At 38.4% G+C, this 21338-nt stretch overlaps 1 protein-coding gene across 2 annotated transcripts in view, besides 2 other annotated features; it reads left to right on the forward strand.

The window, feature by feature from the left end:
• Positions 2727–2796: a silencer, noted in NCBI's record as "silent region_16293". NCBI's record gives its function as "represses an Ori minimal core promoter by ATAC-STARR-seq in GM12878 lymphoblastoid cells {active_cell/tissue: GM12878}" and the evidence as "EXISTENCE:reporter gene assay evidence [ECO:0000049][PMID:35858748]".
• Positions 2857–3036: an enhancer, noted in NCBI's record as "active region_23034". NCBI's record gives its function as "activates an Ori minimal core promoter by ATAC-STARR-seq in GM12878 lymphoblastoid cells {active_cell/tissue: GM12878}" and the evidence as "EXISTENCE:reporter gene assay evidence [ECO:0000049][PMID:35858748]".
• Positions 2859–21338, forward strand: part of PRRC1 (proline rich coiled-coil 1) — a 37446-nt gene continuing 18966 nt past the window's right edge. For both annotated transcript variants that reach the window (NM_130809.5, NM_001286808.2), the window contains exons 1-6: positions 2859–2995; positions 8679–8801; positions 9750–10139; positions 11837–11997; positions 15513–15615; positions 18842–19005. In NM_130809.5, the coding sequence (NP_570721.1) occupies positions 8699–8801; positions 9750–10139; positions 11837–11997; positions 15513–15615; positions 18842–19005 (921 nt within the window). In that variant the 5' untranslated portion in view covers positions 2859–2995; positions 8679–8698. The remainder of the gene's footprint in view (positions 2996–8678; positions 8802–9749; positions 10140–11836; positions 11998–15512; positions 15616–18841; positions 19006–21338) is intronic.

Raw genomic sequence — 21338 nt, forward strand, 5'->3', positions numbered from 1 at the left:
AGTTCAAATGAAAAGTGGTAAGTAAAACATAAAATATAGTAAATGTAAATCAAGGTTAACTTCAAAGCTCATCTTACCTCATTGTCCATGTAGTGGGTTGAATAGTGCCCACCCCCCAAAAAAGATATGCCCACCTGGAACTTGTTACTGTGAACTTATTTGGAAACAGGATCTTCATAAGACCTACAAATATATTGAGATGATATCATTCTGGATTTAGGGTGGGGCCTTAGCGGAATGAGTATGCACTTATAAGGAAGTATGCTTATAAGAGAAAGGCAGAAGGAGATTTGAGACACAGAGACATGGGGGGGAAGGCCATGTGGAGACAGAGGCAGAGATTGGAGGTGTGCTGGCACAGAGGCAGAGATTGGAGGTATGCTGGCACAGGCCAAAGAACACCTGGAGCCACCAGAAGCTAGAAGGGGCAAGGAAGGATTCTCCACTCGAGCCTTTGGAGAGGCCCTGCTGACACCTTGATTTTGGACATCTAGCCCCCAGAACTGTGAAGGAATCAATTTCTGTTGTTTTTAGCCAACGAAAACATTAGTTGCAGTAATTTGTTATGATAATCTTAGGAAACTAATGCAGCTTACTCCCAACCCATCAGTAAATCATGACAGCTCCATCTTCAAAATACATCCAGACCGTGTGCCACCTCCACCTCCATTAGGGACACTAAGCCATCATCATCTCATTACTGGTCATCCTGCACTCATCCTCACATGGACTGCAGTCACACAGCAATCAGAGTGTGATCAGAAATTGATATCAAATATTGTCAGTTCTCTGCTCAAAACCCTCCACGTGCTTCTCATTTCTCTCAGAGTGTAATCAAAGGCTTTCCCATGACCTACAAGGCTAGACACGATCTGGCCCCACTCCCTGTCCTGTCTTCTTTACCATTCTCACAGTCCTGCTTCCCTGTTGTCTGCGCACATGCCGAGCACACTCCATCCTTAAGTCTTTGCATGCCCTTCTTTCTGTCCGGATAAGCACAGGCCTGCTGCATTACACGTCTCTGCTCACATCTCACCTATTCAGAGAAGCCTTGCCCATTCATCCTATCTGAAGTGGTCTACTCCAATTACTGTCAATATTACATCACTCTTTGTTGACTCCTCAAACTGCACATCACAAACAGTACTTACTTTATTTTCCTGTTCCTACCCTCTCTCCTATTATAAAGAACGCTCCCTAGGTATCAAGACCTTGTCTGTCTTGTTCGTTACTGCATTTCCAGTACCAATGCTCAGCACATTGCAGCCACTAATAAATATTTGCTGAAAGGATGGAGAAACCAACATACCTTATAGCTATTAAGGGTGTTGATCAGAGAGGATGAAGATGGTTATCTGTCTTTAGCACCACCCCAAACAGCACGATCCGGACAGTAACCTGGATCTCCACCTACACACATTCTTAGAGGATAGGAGCCACCGCCAAAGAAAACCGCCCATGGTAGTTGCACAGTGAGATCTGAAGTCAGAGTATTGCTACATAGTATTAACTTTTCAGTGAGGTATTTTGGAATGCTTACAACTGTGAAGCTCAAGAGATAGATTAATGTGAAATCTCTAAGTGAGTTCCTGAAAAAAAATTGAGAACAACAAAAACAATTTTTTATATATTTAATGCTAAGCAATTTAAAAAATGTTTTCGGACAGGTGCGGTGGCTCACGCCTGTAATCCCAGCACTTTAGGAGGCCGAGGCGGGCCGAGGTCAGGAGTTCGAGACCAGCCTGGCCAAAATGGTGAAACCCTGTCTCTACTAAAAGTACAAAAATTAGCTGGGTGTGGTGGCCTGTGCCTGTAATCCCAGCTACTCGGGAGGCTGAGGCAGGAGAATCGTTTGAACCCGGGAGGCAGAGGTTGCAGTGAGCCGAGATGGCGCCATTGCACTCCAGCCTGGGCAACAGGGCAAGACACCATCTCAAAAAGACAAAAAGTTTAAAAAATTTTCATATGCTCTATTTTATTTGAGTCTGTCACCTGCCTGATTTAGGGATGGTGGATAGTATTATTCTCAGTTTGCAGGTAGAAATATGAAGACTTATGGAGACTAAGTGACCTGTACAAGGGCAGGCAACTGTACAACTGGCATTAGAGTAGTCTCAGACTCAAATCAAGACTTCTGATTTGAAGTTCCTTATTTTCCTCTATCGCACTCCATTAATTTATTTAATGTACATTATTGAACACCAACTATTTCAGGTACTGTGTTAGGTGCAGCATATAATAAGAAAGTTGATAATCTGTCTATTTTACAATTAAAAAAAGAATGTGCAATACATGCACTTGGGGAAAAATTCAGTACAGTAACTGCTACTCTTCTCCCCTCTCCCTCTTCTCCTAATCCCTCTCTCCTGATATAATCACTGTTATCTGGAAATCTTTGACTATACAGGCTAAGTCCCCTGTATCTGCCGCGAGGTCCTTCCTGGAGGTGCTGACTGGACTAGCTGATGTTGGCTAGATGACCGCCAACCAGATGACCTTGGCTAACTGATCTTATCCCTTGGGCCGCTGTGGCACAGGATGAGTGAGCTACGCCTGGTAACAAGAGTGCCACTCTCGTGTAAGGGGGCTGCGAAGTAGAAAGGAGGCCAGCCCTTTGGAAGATGTTTCTAGAGGGTGTGGGCAGAACCAAGTCTCGGTAGTTAGGAAGATCTTGGCTCCAAAGTTTAACTTGCAGCGTCCCGGCCGGGTTCACAGCGCATGGGACAGGGGGGGCGGGGCGATGCGGAGGCGGAGCGGGGCGATGCGATGCGGGGCGGAGCGGGGCGGGGCGGCGACGCGCGGCGCGGTGCGGCGCGCGGCCGACGTGGCAGCCGCAGGAGCATGCGCCGCCCGTGGCCATCTTGTAGGCGGGGACACGCCGAGGTAACTTCCAGGGTGCGCCTTCGTTGTCTTCTCCAAGCTGTAGTTCTACGTCCCGACCTCCCTATCATACCACACTCTTCAGCGACCACGCAGGCACTTTCCCGGTCCCCAGGTGAGCGCCAGGTGGCTCCGAGGGGCGTGTATGAGGGGGGTGGCATGGCATGGCATGGCTTGCAGGCGCCAGAGCCAGACCCCGAGGGACGGTGTCCCTGGAAGGTGGGCGGGCCGGCCGGCGCCACTGGACGCCGATGTCGTTTGCGAGCCCCCTAGTCCCGTGGTCCAGGCTCAGCTGTGGCGGCGTGCGGGGTGCAGCAGGCAGGAGTGCACATCGCAAGGTGAGCAGTTTCCGCTGGGGATGGCACGGTGGGCGCGGTTCGAGGGTCTCGCCCCGCGACACTTTGCTCCTGTCCAAGGACCAAGGCAGGAGCGCTCTGGCCCCACCTTCCAGGGCGCTGACTTTAGGGGAGACTGGCGGGAGCGCCGGCGGACCTTAGCCCGGCCCTGTCTGGCCTGGAGACGTGGCAGAGCCTGAGGGGAAGCCGCTGTCTCCTGAAACAGGATTTCGGCCGCTCTGGCCCTGGAGAGGCCCAGGAGGCTCGAGAGTCATCACACCAGGACCTGCAATGAAAGGAAGCTTATTTTCCCTGAGGTTACCCCATCGGTGCTTAGCGCCGCTTGGGAGAGTTTTTGCATTCTCTCGTTTCTTTGTTTGGTCTTGGGACCTGCTTCAGGCAAATTTGCAGATAGCACGTTTCCTAGATTGACAGAATTTATAGCCAATAGTGTTTTTGTCATTCGAAGTAGTTATTTTGAGAGACAACATGTGCATTTCTGCGATCGTGACACATCTTGGCATTCAGTCTTTCTCCTGTGCAGCCAGTGTTTAATTCAGTGAAAATTTATAAAATTTTATTTCGGGGTCAGATTAGGCTCTAACTAGCGCTCACTGTTTGGTAGTAGAGACAATCTTGTGGCACGAGTAGGTCAGCAATAATTGCTCTTAATGCTTTAAAGTTTATCAGAGCTTCACTCTTCCATTTCTTGTAAACTTGTAAATAGACATCCACTTTTTTTTTTTTTTTTTAACAGAAAAACCAAGGCACAAGCAAATTGGAACAACAGGGTCTAGCCGGACTGAGAACTCAGTTTTCCAAACCATTTTCTTCACTTTTTCTTTAGTGTTGATATATGAATAGTACTTTTCGTGACAAGACTTGAGCCCTAAAACAGTTACCAACTCTGACACTTCAGTATTGTTTTATCATAATAGGTTTTTTTAGTAGAAGGCACTATGTTTATGCATGTAAAATTTACCTCAGTATTGCCATTACGGCAGTTTTCATATAAAAAGCCATTAAAGACAAAGAAATTGATTATTTATTCCACTTAATGACTTTGTATTCATTGTACAGTTTCTTTTGCAGACACATTTGTTAATGTTAGGGATTCTCTTACAATAGGACTTCTACTAGTCATTGTAAGGATTGGGGAGCATCTGTAGTAGAGGGTGAATGACCAATAAAAAATTAAATGAAGAAAAGAGGGAGCTTTGGTTGAGGAGTGGTAAAATCTCCAAAGGGGCATTTCTATCTCAGGTTATTTACCTTCGATGTATAGGTACTGAATGAAAGGATTCAGCCTCCCCGGATCCCTGTTCTCTGCTTAGTGCCATAGATCTTTCCTACGTTCACAGCCAAACTTTTTGAAAGTGTCATGCGTGTTAGTCTCACCTGCCACTGCTCGATTCAGTTTACACTGGAATCTTTCTCCACTCTTTATATGAAAACCGTTCTCCCTAAATTCATCTCCAGTTTGGCAGATCCATTGAACTTCTCAGATAGTATCCTATTTGGCTTCTCTGCAGCATTAATACTGTTGCCCATTCATACTGCGAAACTCTGGCTTTTGGACACCACAGTCTCCTGGTTTTCTTCCTTTCTTTTAGCTCATCTCTTATTCTCTGCAAACTTGTCTTCCATCTTACTAAACCAATAATTGGTTTAACATCATATTCTCTTTTCTCTTGGTATTCTCTTACGTAATCTCATCTCAAAACATGACGTTAGACTATCAGTACACTGATGACACCCACATTTATGTGGTTGCTAAGCTCCAGACCAAGTCAGTGTCTCTACTTAGATGTTTGTTTCAAGGAACTTAAACAGCATGTCAAAGACTAAACATTTTATGATTTCCCCCATCCGACTCCCCCAGAAAGAACATCAAACACATTGGCCTTCTGCAGTGTTTCCTATCTTTGTGCATGGCACCACCATCTATCTAGTTGTGCAAGTCATGCCTCCTTTCCCTTCCTCCATACCCAGTCACTGAATTTTGCCACCTAATCTTGTCTTGAACTTATTTACTTTTCTCCATCTCCACTATCATCACTTGAGTCTAGGTCAGAGTTTTTCAACTTTGGCACTATTGAAATTTGGGGCCACTTAATTCTTGTGTGTAGGCTGTGCATTGGAGGATTTTTAGTAGTATTCCTAACCTCTTCATGCTATATGCCAGTAGTAGCCCTCTAGTAGTGACAATAAAAAATGTCTTGGACATTGCCAAGTGACCCCTTGGGGGCATAATCAGCCCTTCCCACTATGAAAATCATTAGTCTAGGTTGTTACTTACTTCTGATGGAACTACTTCTATATCTTCCTTAATGGCCTGTCTGCATCTGCTCTGTCTGCCCAGTGGCCCAGGCTGCATACTTTGTTCAGATCTTTTCAAAAAATAAATATGAATTGCTAATAACTGGAATCAGCCTAAATGTCCTTCAGCAGGTACATTTATACAATGGAATACTATTCAGCAATAAAAAGGAACCAATTTGATATATGCAGCAGCTTGGATGAATCTCAAGAACATTATGTTGAATGAAAAAAAGCCAACTTCAAAAGGTTATATGCTGTATGATTCGATTTATGTAACATTCATGGAACGAGAAAGTGATAGAAAACAGAGCAGTGTTTGCCAGGGCTTATGGTTGACGGGAAGGTAGATAAAGGAACAACATGAGGAAGTTTCTTTTTAGTGATGGAATGGTTCTATGTCCTGGTCGAGGTGGTGGTTATACGAGATTGTGCATATGATGAAGCTTCATAGAACTATGCACATACACACACACAGTAAATGTAAAAACATGTGAAATACAAATAAGATCTATAGTTAATAGTGTTGTACCAATGTCAGTTTCATGGTTTTGATCATTGTAGTGTAGTTATGTAAGATGCTGTTACTGAGAGAAGCTGGGTTTGGGGTACTCAAGAACTCTGCTGTTTCTACATTTTTTTTTTGAACCTAAAATTCCTTCAAAACAGTTAAAACAAAAGACAGTTATGCTACCCTCAGCTTGAATGCCTTACAGTTGTAGGATATGATAAATTTCTCTTCATAGATTTTAGCCTGTAAATTGTTAAGTACAATGAGTTCTGAGATCCTCTCCAAAGAACCAGTGTATCAGTATGTTCAGCTCCCCTGTTCTTTGTTCTTCATTTTAAAGTTTAAATTCCTAGTTCTTTATTTCTCCTTGCCCCCAGTTTCAGTAAACAATCCCCTTCTAGCCTCTATCAACTGCTCTGACCTTAGTCACCCTTGGTCACCTGCTCTGACCTTAGTAATCCTTGGTCATCTGCTCTGTTCTTAGTCATCCTGGATCACCTGTTCTGTAACCGTCCTTCCCGCCAAACTACTCACCCTGCTGCTCTGGCTCATACCCCTGCTCTCTTTAAAATAGCCAGTTGGAATTAGCTTAGACTGCGTGGTCCAACCCTAGCCAATGGGGGAAAGACACAGCAGTAGGGACTAGCTGCGTTAGGATAAGAACCCCTTCCCCTCCCTTGTTCAGGTGTGCTCTTGACATTGCTCCATCTGTGAGACACACCCTTCTATAGAAGTAAAATTGCCTTGCTGAGAAAATTAAATTTATGTTCGAGTGCTATTTCTTTTGTGGCACCGAAAATTTATTTCTAACACAGTGACACTCTGTTCTTTAAAAACCCAAGTTTTTTAACCTGGTTTATGAGGCTGAACACCTTCTGGGCTTCTGTCTGTCCCTCCAGTCCTGATTCTTCTTTCTCTCCCTTCACATGGATTTTATTGAATGTATCTTGTTCTTCCCAGCTCAGTTGGTATATATATTTGCTATATATTCACTTTTTCTGGACTCTGCCTTTCTTCCCTTGCCTAATTAAGTTCTTATCCTTCAAATCTCGGTTTATCTGTGACTTATTTGGGGAACCCTTTCCTTACCTCCAAGTCAAAATCATATTCCTGTCAAACAAAACTGTGTTCTTACCCTCAGAGCACATAATTCAGCTACCATTCATTGTAAATTGGTTTATTATTTGATTGTTTCGTGTACTAGACTGTAAGTATCCTATTTGTTTTTGCTAATCATTGTCATTTCCAAAGGCATCAGTATAGTGCTCGTCAAGCAGTTGACCTTCGCTAAAAACTTATTAAATGAATAAAAATATTAAAAACAAATATAGCATATTTAGAAGTTGGTTCTGTACTTGAGATACACTTCAGGATTTGTAATTTTAAAGAAAGTTTTCTCATATTTTATAATCCATTGTTGTCTATTAGGATGCTGCTATCTAATGGCATTTTTGCTATAGTTAACTTTTCTAAAACCTCAGATATACAATTTATCTGTTACTGGATATGCTTTAAAATGTGAACTAGGAAAATTGTGAATTAATGCTTTTATCAAGTGAAGCACATTTTATTTTATTTTATTGAGACAAGGTCCTGCTTTGTTGCCCAGGCTGGAGTACAGTGGCATTCTCACTGCTCCCTGCAGCCTCAACCTCCTGGGATCAGGTGATCCTCTCACCTCAGCATCCTGAGTTGCTGGGACCATAGGCACATGTCACCCTGCCTGGCTAATTTTTTAATTTTTTTGTAGAGATGGAGTCTTCCTATGGTGCCCAGGCTGGTCTCAAACTCCTGGTCTCAAGGGATCCTCCCACCTCTACCTCCCAAAGTGTAGGTTTACAGCGGTCAGCCACTGTGCCTGGCTTTATTTTTTTTTTATGTTAATGGGGTTATCTTATACACAGTACTTTATGAGAGAAGAGGAAGGGCTTCAAAAATACATTAAATATTTTATTTATTTATTTTTAGAGATCTTGCTCTGTCACGCAGGCTGGAGTGCAGTGGTGCAGTCATAGCTCACTGCAACCTTGAACTCCTGGGTTCAAGGCATCTTCTCATCACAGCCTCCCAAAGTCCTGGGATTTCAGACGTGAGCCACTGTGCCCAGCCTCATTTTTATTTTAAATTTAATAATGACTGAAATTTATATTATTTACTTATTTTATTTTTTAGAAATGAGATCTTGCTATGTTGCCCAGGCTTGTCTACAACTCCTAGCCTCAAATGCTTCCCGTCTTGGCCTCCCAGAGTGCTGGGATTATAGGCATGGGACACCACACCTGGCCCAGACATAACTATCTCTAACATGCATTCATGTGGCAGAAATCAAATTAGTAATTTACTATTTGAAATGTAGTAGATAATTAGTTATATTGTTATTATAACATGAAATTATTTCCCACTTATAAAGTATCTACATGGGAATGTTACAGATTGTTTGATATTAAATATTCTCATAGATTGCTTTCTTAGAAATTTGGACAAACTCTTCGTCTGGAAATAAGTTGCATTATAAACAGTAAAGGTGGACATCTATCTCTTGATGATTTTTTTTTTAGTCGTTCTCTATTCAAGCTTTAAAAATATACTTTTGGTTACTGTGTAATATTTGTTACATTTTTGTGTTTTTATAGTATACCATAATTGAAGAAAAATGATGGAAGAGAGTGGAATAGAGACAACACCACCTGGGACTCCTCCACCAAATCCTGCAGGGCTGGCTGCTACTGCTATGTCTTCTACCCCTGTTCCATTAGGTACATGTAGTTGTCTAACATCTCGTGTGTTTTGAGAATAGTGAAGATACTATCATCTTTTCTCAGAGTCAATTAAGAAAAGAATGCATATATTAAAACTTCTCTATTATTTTTCAGGATGAAAGGAAATAGCCTTTTTAATTTAAAGAATAGAAAGAAAGTCTTGTGTATTTAAAGTAAGAAAACATCAGTGTTTTGCTTTAGGTGGACTTTTGTTCTTTATGTTCATAATTTTACCATCATTTATATTATGGCAGAAATATCCTAAAAAGCATGTGTTAGCTTTGTCTTCTGTTCTTTTTCTTTTTTTTGAGACGGAGTTTCACTTGTCACCCAGGCTGGAGTGCAGTGGTGCGATCTCATCTCACTGCAACCTCCGCCTCCCAGGTTCAAGTGATTCTCCTGCCTCAGCCTCCCAAGTAGCTGCAATTACAGCACTCACCACCATGCTCAGCTAATTTTTGTATTTTTAGTAGAAATGGGATTTCACAATTTTGGCCAGGCTGGTCTCAAACTCCTGACCTCAGGTGATCCACCTGCCTCAGCCTCCCAAAGTCCTGGGATTACAGGTGTGAGCCACTGCGCTCGGCCTACTGCTCTATGACTTTGTGGTGATTAACCTTTCTGAGCCTTCAGGGCATAGGTTTTTATGCTCAAACTAGGGATGAAAAATCGCTTTATTTTATTAAAAATACACCAAAACAAACCAAAAAGCAAAAATGAACAATGCCATAGGTTCATACAGCTGCTTCTTTTACTTATGGGAGTTGAAAGTCATTTACACTCAATTATATTTGTTGTATATTTTAAATTACACATTTTAAAATAATTCTTGGGATATGCTTTGGTAAGTTAAAAATTTTGCAAGAAGAAAGTAATTAGACAGTTTGAAAACTAAATAAAAAACATTTCTAATTCTGTGCTTTTATCCTCTCCACTTTTTTCTAGCGGCAACCAGTTCTTTTTCTTCTCCAAATGTATCCTCCATGGAGTCCTTCCCACCACTCGCATACTCTACTCCTCAGCCGCCCCTTCCTCCTGTGAGGCCTTCAGCACCATTACCTTTTGTGCCTCCTCCTGCAGTTCCTTCTGTCCCACCACTTGTTACTTCTATGCCACCTCCTGTTTCTCCATCAACTGCTGCTGCCTTCGGTAATCCTCCTGTATCTCACTTCCCACCTTCAACTTCTGCCCCAAACACTCTTTTACCTGCACCCCCTTCGGGTCCTCCTATATCAGGATTTTCTGTTGGTTCAACTTATGACATTACAAGGGGACATGCTGGGAGAGCTCCCCAGACACCCCTGATGCCATCATTTTCTGCACCTTCAGGAACAGGTAATTCTTTCTGATACTTTGAAATACATGGCTATTAATTAATGTTTTATTCTTTTTTAAAATAATAGCTTTGTTGAGATATAATTTATGTACTCTACAATTCACCCAATTCAAAGCATACAGTTCCATAGTTAGTTTACATCAGAATTGTGCATCCCTTGTCGCAATTTTATAACCTTTTCATCACTTTAAGAAAGAAACCCTATACCTTTTAGCAGTCAGCCCCTACTGTCCCCCAAATCCTCACAGCTCTAGGCAACTACTAATCTACTTTCTATGTATATGGATTTGCTTATCCTGGTCATTTCATATAGATGGAATCATATAATACGTGGTCTTTTGTGACTGGCAACTTTCACTTAAATATTTTCACTTAAATATTTAACTTAAATATTTTCAAGGTTCATCCATGTTGTAGCATTTGTCAGTACTTCATTCCTTTTCATGGCTGAATAATATTCCAGTTTATGAATATGTATACCACATTTCATTTATTCAATTAATCAGTTAATGTTGGGTTGTTTTCCACTTTTTGGCTATTTAGATAATGCTGCTATAAATATTTGTTTACAGGTTTTTATATGGACATGTTTTTATTTTTCTTGGGTGTCTACCTAGGCATGGAATTGCTGATTTACATGGTAATTCTACACCAAACTGTTTTCTAAAGCAGGTGTACCATTTTACCTTCTTATTAGCAGTGGGCGGGGTCCCACTTTCTCTGCATTAATGTTCTTCTCTTTATTCATTTCTTTGGTTTCCAGAGTTACCTATTTCACATTTTTGCCATTTAAATTATTAAAATAAGGCTGGTATAATTTAGTATATGATTTTTTTATGTGATATACAACTCAGTAGATGATTAGTATATGGGATGTCAGAAAATTCCAAAATTTTGTCCTAATATTTGTGCATTTATAGAGAAATTTAAAGGTGAAGTCTGAGTTTTTTTAAGTTTTACTGAAAAAATTATCAGGACTGACTGTTCCAGGGAGTAGTGTTTTTTTAGCCAGGTAAAAAGTCAGAAACAAATAAAACCTCATGTATGCCAAAAGTTTGTGATACTGGGTCATTTCCTTTCCCTAGGTCAGTTAAATCTACTTGTTTTGTTTCTTTGGAATAATTGTTGCAAATGAGTTATCAAAACTTCGTCCTTGTCATCCTCTGCCTGTTGTTTCTCATTTTAGGGAAAAGCAGTAGCTTTGCTGTGCTTTTTATTATCTATCTTTCCCTGTCTACCTTTACAAATGAAAATTATTGCAGAGTGCAAGTACTATATTCATGTCTATGTATATGTGAATTTTCTTTCTGAGTTAACATGAAGTATATAGAGTATGTGTAATAATTGTGTGCTTTTTTGTGATGAACTTCAGTGCTCAATTAATTTTATGGATTAAAGAGACCTGAACTACAGCCGTTCATATCCAAGTGCTGAATAGGACAGACCTGAAGAACTTTTGGATATACGCTTTTTGTCCATTTTCAGGATACTTGGTTTAAGACTATATAAAGGGAAATAAATTTCTTTTGAAATTCTGTTTAATTTGCGTTTTATAAAGGTTTGTGTTAATCTTTGATTGTATAACTCAGTCTTCAAATGCCTGAATATTAATATTAAAGTTGTTTGAGCCACTCCTTTTTATAGGAAAAAGTTTATGGAATAAATTATACATATGAAAATTTTTGCCATTGATTAGGTCTTTTGCCAACTCCTATTACTCAGCAAGCCAGTTTGACATCTCTGGCACAGGGAACTGGAACCACATCAGCCATTACTTTCCCAGAGGAGCAAGAAGACCCTAGAATTACTAGAGGTCAGGATGAAGCATCTGCTGGTGGAATCTGGGGTTTTATTAAGGTAAGACGTGTTTAAAAATTATGTTTAATTTTCTAATTATAAAACTAATAGATATTCATTAGAGAAAATATTGAAAATACAGGATGGCACAAGGAAAAATAAAATTCTTTTTTATTAGCAGTTTTCTGTAGCTGCTCTCAGTCTCTTGCCTATGCATATCTGTGTAAACGTTCCTTTGAATTAAAATCAAATTGAAGTAGTGACAGGTCAGATGGATACTATTTCATGTTTTCTGGTCTTTACTGAGCATATATCATGGATATCTTCCTGGCCGTAAAATATTTTTTTCAGAAATGTATTTTGGTTTCTCTTATGGCTGCTTCACCATACATGCTGTTGCATTTATTTCCCGTGTTTTATTTTGCTAATCTGCCTATTGGCATTTTCTAATTGTAATTATTTTTTTTAAATTAGTTAATTTATTTTAATTGACAAAAATTGTATGTGTTTATTATGCACAACATGATGTATACATGAAGTGTGTATACATTCTGGAATGGCTAAATTGAGCTGATTAACATATGCAATACCTCACATATTTACCATTTTTTTGTGGTGAGAAAACTTAAAATTTTGAAATATAAAACCTTATATTTCAAGAATATAATACATTGTTCCTAACTATAGTCACCCTGTTGTACAAGAGATCTCTTCTAATTGTAATTCTTATCAATAAATCATCATCATGATTAGGTCTGGCATGGTGCCTCATGCCTGTAATCTTAACACTTTGGGAAGCCCAGGCAGGGGGATTGCTTGAGTCGAGGAGTTCTGTATGAGACCAGCCTGAGCAACATAATGAGACCCAGTCTCTACCAAAAACTTAAAAAAATTAGCCAGGCATTGTAGCGTGTGCCTGTGGTCCCATGTACTCAGAGGCTAAGGTGGTAGGATTGTTTGAGCCCAGGAGGTCCAGGCTGCTTGAGCTGTGATCATGATACTACATTCCAGTCTAAGTGACAGAGTGAGACACTGTCTCAAAAAAAAAAAAAAAAAAAAACCAAAAAACTATGATGAGCACTGTTGTATGTAAATCTTTATGGACATCTTTTTTTCCTCCGAATTAATTCCTGATGAACATTTGAGTGAACATTTGAAGAAATTGATACCTATTCCACTTCAGGAGGTTTATACCAAAATACACTGGTATAACATTTTTCACTTGCCAGCAGTAGTTATTAATTTGGACTAGGGTATTTTCTGATTTGACAGGCAAAAAATAATACCACATTTTAATTTGCTTTCCTTTGCTACTGAATTTGAACATTTTCTCGTATGATTTTTAGCCATTTGTATTCTTCTTTTGTGAAATATCGGTTATGTTCTTTGCCTAGTTTTAAATTGGGATGATTTTCTTTTCTTATGAATTTGTAAGAGCTCCTAATACAGTAAGAATACTTTTCTATATGCTCTCATATGTTGCAGTTTTCTCAATTTTTAGTTTACATTTTCATTTTAATACCCTTTTTGACAGAAAAGTTCAATTTCAGGAGTCAGTTCTGTCAGTCTTTTCTTTTCTTTTTTCTTTTCTTCTCTTTTCTTTTCTCTTTTTTGAGACAAAGTCTCGCTCTTGTCGCCCAGGCTGGAGTGCAGTGGTGCGATCTTGGCTTACTGCAACCTCTGCCTTCTGGGTTCAAGCAATTCTCCTACCTCAGCCTCCCAAGTAGCTGGGATTACAGGCATCTGCCTCCATGCCTGGCTAATTTTTTTGTATTTTTAGTAGAGACGGGGGTTCACCATGTTGGCCAGGCTGGTCTCGAACTCCTGACCTCAGGCGATCTGCCCGCCTCGCCTCCCAAAGTGCTGGGATTACAGGTGTGAGCCACCGCAGGCAGCCTCTCCTTTTCTTTACATTTTTTTTTAATGCTAAAAAAGACCTTTTCTCACTACGATACTGTGATAAATGTTCTTCTGTGATCCCTTTCTAGTTCCCTTAATGTTTAATTTTTTAGACACTTAGCGTTTAATATAGTTGATATTTCTTTACTATATGAGGTAGAGATCAAACTTAATTTTCTTCCAGCTACTCAATGGAGTATTTCAATATCATATCCCCATTGATTTGGTATGATCCCTATATTATCTTCCTTAAGAAATTGTGTGTTAAAATCAGCTTCTGGCCTCTGTATTCTAGTCCACTGCTGTTTCCCTGTTCTTGTAGTAGAGCACACTGTTTTAATTACTTTTACTTTGTGTTCATTGTACTAACGTGTACTGAGGTGGGGATGTGGAACATTCAGTGATAAGTAAGATAGGACAGTTCAAGTCTGCATTTATAAATGTATATCAGTATTTAGTTGTGTAAGTTGTATAAGCTGGCTGATTTTTCTTTTAAATTTTTCTTTACTCATCTTTCCCAATTTTTTTTGCAATGAATTTTGAAATCATTCTGCCAAGTTCCAATATTCTGCTAAGGGTTTGTTTGCAATTTTATTATTATAATTATAATTTATTATTATATTAAAGATTTAAAATTGGTAGATGATTGGCTGATTTGTAGTATTTGAGCTTCATGTTTCAGGAATGTGGCATTTTTCTAAGCTTGTTTATTTTTTAATACCCCTCTGTACTTTTTTAAAAAGTTTTTTTTTGCATACAGACTACAACATTTTGTCCCTCGTTAAGAGCATGTGTCAGTGTGTTTGTCATGAGTTGTAATACCCAGTTCAACTCTATAGGTCTTGTAAATAGTAAGTCATGATGTTTCAGCATATGGTTGGTTGGCAGTCTTAAATTTCAATTTTATGAACTCATCTTTTCCTGAGTCACCTTAGTTTAATGGCAGATTGGAAGATGGGGAATCATGGCAGGTTAGTCAGATGCCATCTCAGGAGGCACTGCTCCCTGGAGTGTCTTTTACCCTTTGTGAAGTATCGCACAAGAAGGAATACTCAAGACTTGGTTCCTTTTAGTAGTAACGGCTCTAAGAATCCAGAGGAATAGATCTGAATATAAATGGCGAGTTTGGGAATGTACAAAACAAGAAACAAGAAGTAGGAAAAAGAAGAAACTAGTAGAAGATAGCAAAATGTTGTACGTTAAGGTAATAAGTAACTGTTCTGCCCCCAGACGAGAGGTGTTTTTACTCTTTTTATTTTTTTTATTAGGGAACAAGTATGGACTTACGTAGACACCTGATTGGGACCTTTATTTGGGACCCTAAGGGACAAGTTTTGCCCAATCTTTTATATAAATAAGTAGAAGTGAAATTATATATATGTATATACACACACATATATATGTATATATAGTATAGCATCCTTTCCATACCCATGCTACTCAAAGCGTGATCTGTAGATTGCTGCTGGTCTACACACTGCTGAGTCAGGAAAAAAAATTGAGAGTATCATTTAGAAACTTAATAGCAATTTGATATTGTCATGACCTTATATATCTTACAAAAGTACTGGTTTAGGATGCATTGGAAACTTTTAAAAAAGTTTTCTTCACAATCATGAAGATCATGGTGTTCCTCACTTAGAGTGAATACTTACATATTGATTTGTTTTATGCAGGGTGTGGCTGGGAATCCTATGGTGAAGTCTGTGCTTGATAAGACAAAACATTCAGTAGAAAGCATGATTACAACGCTGGACCCTGGCATGGCTCCCTATATCAGTATGTACATAAGTTAGACCGGTATCTGCCATTTTTTTTTTAAGGGTATGTCCACATCAGCCACTAATTGTAATTCTCTGTTCGTTTCCACTGATTGTGTAATCAGTGGAAATTCTTATTATATTCTTGCATTAATTTAATTGTCAGTCTTATTTTTTGGTGTTACTAATTCATCTTTTTTAAAAGTCATTAAATAAATTTTGAAAATCCCACAGAATGATCCTAGAAGGAGTAAAAACCATGAATTATTGGTATACTTGCTGATTTTAATTTTAAATATAGGTTAGCATTGCTTTATATGAATTTTACTTTATTCACTACTGACATTTGAAGTGATGTTTGTTTCATACTTTTTTTTTTTTTTACATTTCTCCTGTTATCTATTTTAATTAAATGTTTGTGTGTAATTGAGGGATAATATTTTTGGAGGAAGCAAATCTAGTTAATAATATCTAATGACTGGGTATATTGGGAAAGCTATTTTTAACCACCTCTGAACACTAATCATCCAGAATCATCCAGACAGTTGATAGATACTGTCTGCTATTTAATTTTTATGTACATATCCAATATGTGAAAAAATATCACAAGGCTTAGTGACCAATTATTAGTAATTCTGTAAAAGATAACTTTTAAGTCAAAATTGTGCAGCAGGTACCTGAACAGCGATTTCAGTGGCAATAAAAAGCCAATAGCTTTCACAAGTCTTGACTATGTTGGTAGTTTACTGTCTAGTAAATATCAAAAGATAAGGCCTAGCAATTGTTAAGTGTCTTTATTGAATGCTTCTGCCAGGCACTTTCTCATAAGAGCTCTGCAAGGTAGGTATTTTCCTCAAGTTTTGGACGAGGAATCTAGGTTTGGAGGGATGTAAGTTATCACCCTAGATCACACAACTTGGTGGAGCTGTATTGAACTCATGCTCAATTTTTTTACACTTAGCCACTTTGCTTCCCTTGTAGTAGAAAATTGAATCAAGCATTAAATCAACTGAGTTGTTCTTTGTGTTTGTAACTGTCCAAAGAATTCAAAATTGGAGTCCACCATATATGTTCTTTTCTTTGCAAGTACATATTTTGAATGAAGGAAAAAAAGGAATTAATATTTTTGGAGCTTTTGCTGTTTTAATGGCTGTACTATGTTAGACTATGAAAGCAATTACCTTATTTAATCCTTAGAGCAAACCCTATGAGGTGCCAGGTGTTTTTATTCTTCTTCTTCTTTTTTTTTTTTTTTTTTTTTTTGAGACAGAGTCTCACTCTGTCACTCAGACTGGAGTGCAGTGGCGTGATCTCAGCTCACTACAACCTCTGCCTCCTGGGTTCAAGTTATTCTTATGTCTCAGTCTTCTGAGTAGCTGGGACTACAGCCGTGTGCCACCACGCCCAGCTAATTTTTGGTAGAGACGGGGTTTCTCCATGTTGGCCAGGCTGGATAGCAGGCATTTTTCTACAAAGAAACAAGCTCAGTGACTTCCACAAGGTAAAGAAGCTAGTAAATGATAAAGGTAGAGCCATCAAGAAAAATGTGTAACACCGAAGGGGAAAAAAGAAAGGTACAGAAATGAAATTTCTATTATTAGCAAATGTCATAACTTTATCAGCTTTAAAAAGTAATAAAATCGAATTTAAGAAAGCTGACATCTTTACTGACAGCAAAGCATCACCATTCTGATCTAACAAAACAACTCAAAGTAAATCTTAAGGTTTTTTTTTTTGTTGTTTTTTTTTTGAGGTGGAGTCTCACTCTACCGCCAGGCTGGAGTGCAGTGGTGCAATCTCAGCTCACTGCAACCTCTGCCTCCTGAGTTCAAGCGATTCTCCTACCTCAGCCTCCTGAGTAGCTGGACCTACAGGTGCACGCCACCATGCCCAGCTAATTTTTGTATTTTTAGTAGAGATGGGGTTTCACCATGTTGGCCAGGATGATCTCGATCTCTTGACTTTTTGATCCTCCCGCCTAGGCCTCCCAAAGTGCTGGGATTACAGGCGTGAACCACCGCGCCCGGCCATCTTAAGGTATTTTTACACAAATATTCTAGAAATCATTTGATGTAACAATTTCGTATGTGTCAAGAAACTCAAAAAGTATTAGAAATGGCAGGACTACTCATCACAAGCTGAAAAGCCATTTTGAGCTGAAGCTTAATGGAGCAGTACTTAGCTAAGGTCGAGAGATGTGTCCCATGTGGAGGAAAAAAGTGAAAAAAAAAGTATATTCTTCTTCTCTTTTATGTCCTAGTAACTTCTGAAGTATCCAGTACAGATGTGATCTGTGAGACATTATGTCAGTCAGGAAAAAGGGATCCATTATTTTTAAAACCCAAATATTTGAAAATATCTTTCCCTGTTCCACATGATATTTATTAGGGAAAAACAACCTTGTTTCTAGGGCAAAATGTTTTACATTATAAACAATTTTCATGAAAAATCTCTTTTGCCGGTGATAACTATTAATGCCAAATATCAAAATGTGCTGTGTTTAGAACAAGGGCTTTGAATTCATTATATCACAGAAATGTTTGGTTAAGATTTTTAAAAATAATGAAACATTTGGTCAAATTGATCTGTCTAGAAATAGTAGTACTTAGGTTGTTTAAGTAATTGAAAAATTAAAAATATTTGAAAATATTTTTATTTCGTATTACTCTTAATATTTTAAATTTTAAGTTTTATGTGTTATTTCAATTTCATATATGCTTGCATATTTATATTAGGGCAGTAGTACATGTATAATTGATAAATATCTATTTGTGGTGTATGCTCAGAACATTGTGGGGATATTTAATAAAAAGCTTGATGACCCCATATTTAAACTATTTTCTAGGTTAAAAAGTATATTTCATGGTAGTGCTTGTTTAGTACATAACTTCTCTGCAACTCATTGACAAATCACTTACTATCAGTAAGTCTTTATTTTAATTTTCCGTGGAGTATACTAAATATGTAACTTACACTTCACAAGCCAGATATGTGATTTCTGGCTTGTGATATGTAATGTCAGTTTTGAGTCCTGACATTAGTGCTAAGTAGATACGTTACCTTGGGCAAAACTTTGTTGGCCTCAGTTTTCTCAAGCATATAAAAAAGATAATGATCTATATCTTGCATGGTTTTATGAAACTGGTAATAATTATGTATATTAGATGTTAGCACCTGGTATGGTAGTAATTATGAGAATTTCATTATTTTAATTTGAAAGTTAAATTTTCCTCTGGTCTTTTTAGAATCTGGAGGTGAACTGGATATTGTAGTGACCTCAAATAAAGAAGTAAAAGTTGCTGCTGTCCGAGATGCCTTCCAGGAGGTCTTTGGCTTAGCTGTGGTTGTAGGGGAAGCTGGACAGTCCAATATTGCCCCACAACCAGTGGGCTATGCAGCTGGATTAAAAGTGAGTAACAGAACACCATTTTCAGGACATGGAAACTGGCATTTAATTTTTTCACAATTCTGATAATCTGTTGTCTCTATGGAGCTAATAGACTTTTACATACTGAAATAACAATGAACTTTGCTTTTAGTAGACAGCCCTATCGTATTATGAAGATATAGTGGAGTTTTAATTTAAAGAAATTTAAGATAGGTTTTGATTATTGTGGGAGGGAAAGAAACATTGAGAGAGCACAAAAGGAATAGTTAGTCCTAAAAGAGATCTTCTTAATCCAGCATTAACATTCAAATCAATTACTGAGATGATAATATCCCTTGAATCCCATAAGCTTTTATTATCCCTATTGATAATGCTTAAAAATATGTAAGTTCCAGGAATTCCGTCCTCTCTTTCATACTTTATTTTCCTCTCTTTGTGTTATTACCAGCATACAGTCATGCAAGAACAAATTAACAGTTCATTGGCATACAAACATCTTTCTCACCTTGAAAAAAAAAGAAAAAACCAAAGGAAACCCCAACAAATTCTTTGACCTCCCTTCCTCTATAACTTAATGACCTATTTTGCTTCCTTTTGCAGCTAAACTCCAAGGAGTTGGCAGCACTTTTCTCATATCCTTTTCACATTCAGTTAAGTCTACCTCAGTTAGGCTTTGATGTCCAGCACTCTACTGATAGTGCTTTCAGGCTCGTGCTAATGTTCTCCATCTTATTGGACTTACCAGAGGCTTTTGAGACAGTTGATCATGCACTTCTCTTTAATGCTTTTTTCACTTGATTTCTAGGATTCCACACTTTAGTTTTTCCCTCCTTCATGTATTGCTCACTCCTTCTGTACTTCCTTTGCTGATTCCTCCTCTTCTCTCCAGTCTTCTGACGGTCACCTTCTCATCAATTCACTCTCAGACTATCCCATGGCTTTAAATACTGTCTCTGTGCTAACAGTTCCAAATTTATATCTCCACCTGAGACCTTCCTGTAGACTCTTGATTTATATATAAGTTGCCTTTTTGACAAGTTTACTTGAATATCTCAAACTTAATATGTCTAGAACTAAACTTCTTTCCTCCACACTTGCTCCCTCTAGCCTTCTTCACCTTAATTGATGGCAGTTCTAGCCTTCCGTTTTCTCAGGCAAGAAACCTTGGAGTCAGCCCTGACTTCTCTCATTACCCACTTCTAATCCATCAAGAAATCTTATTTGTAAGACAGACAGTTCTTGTTTTTCAACATAATTGTGTTCCATAAAGTTGCTACAGACTGAATTTGTGAATACTGAGCCATTGCTCCCAGGGGAGATACGATGGTTAGGATACTGTGGGCCTCTGGTCACATTTTGCCAACCTGTCAATACATAACTTTGTTTTATGCCTCTTTCTGTTTAAATACATTTTTATACACATACATGCACATATTTTTGATTCATTAATATTGAACTCTCACAGTCAACAGTACTGTAACTCATGCTTGAATGCAGCTTATTTAACACACTCGTTTTCTCATTAAGGCACATCATTGTCTTCTTGTGCTTAGGAACACTACAGCACTCCAGCACTACACTTGGGGGCCATTTGAAAACAGCAGTTAACATCAACAAACACAAAGATGCAAAAAAGAGGTGCTAAATAGATCCCAAAAAGGATACCTGTTTACATTGTGTCAGCTGAAAGAAGAAGTCAGGGCACTGCCTTGTTCAGCCTCAGCTAGGAGTGTATGCATCAGGCAACTCAAATTTCTCATAGCTCTGTGCATGTCCGATTTTGAGATTATAAATAAATTTCATGTGTAGTCAATGGAATCCACAAAACTAATAGGATCGATCAACTGTATTTATGTTTAAGGAGAAACACATTTTCATATATGACATTCTGTTGTTTTATTTGAAGGAGCTTATAATAGCCTGCATTTTTTGAGAACATCCCCTGAGCCAGGCACATAGACCCTTTACCTGCATTCATTTGATGTGTGTAAAGCATTAGAATGAGGTAATTGACATAGCATATTTCATTGGGGAAAAAGTCTGTTGCATTAATTATAATTAGTCACTAAACACAAACCCACACTGACACTAGATTATTTTTAATTCTACTAGGTAGTGCTACATAAGTTTGAGGTGTTCTTTGAGTTGTATTTAGTACTTTATTTAAATAGAATATGAAGCCCTTTTCTTTTACACATATGCATACTCACATACCACAAAACCACTTTTCTATATTAGGGGCTATTAGGCAGTAGTTATACCCTATCTAAATGTAATGCATTATATATAATATGAATTAAATTACATGTTTTCTGCCTTTTCACTTTTCACAGTGGTCTGTCCTTACACACAGA

Source organism: Homo sapiens, chromosome 5 (genome assembly GCF_000001405.40).
Source record: "Homo sapiens chromosome 5, GRCh38.p14 Primary Assembly".
NCBI classification, from domain to species: Eukaryota; Metazoa; Chordata; class Mammalia; order Primates; family Hominidae; genus Homo; species Homo sapiens.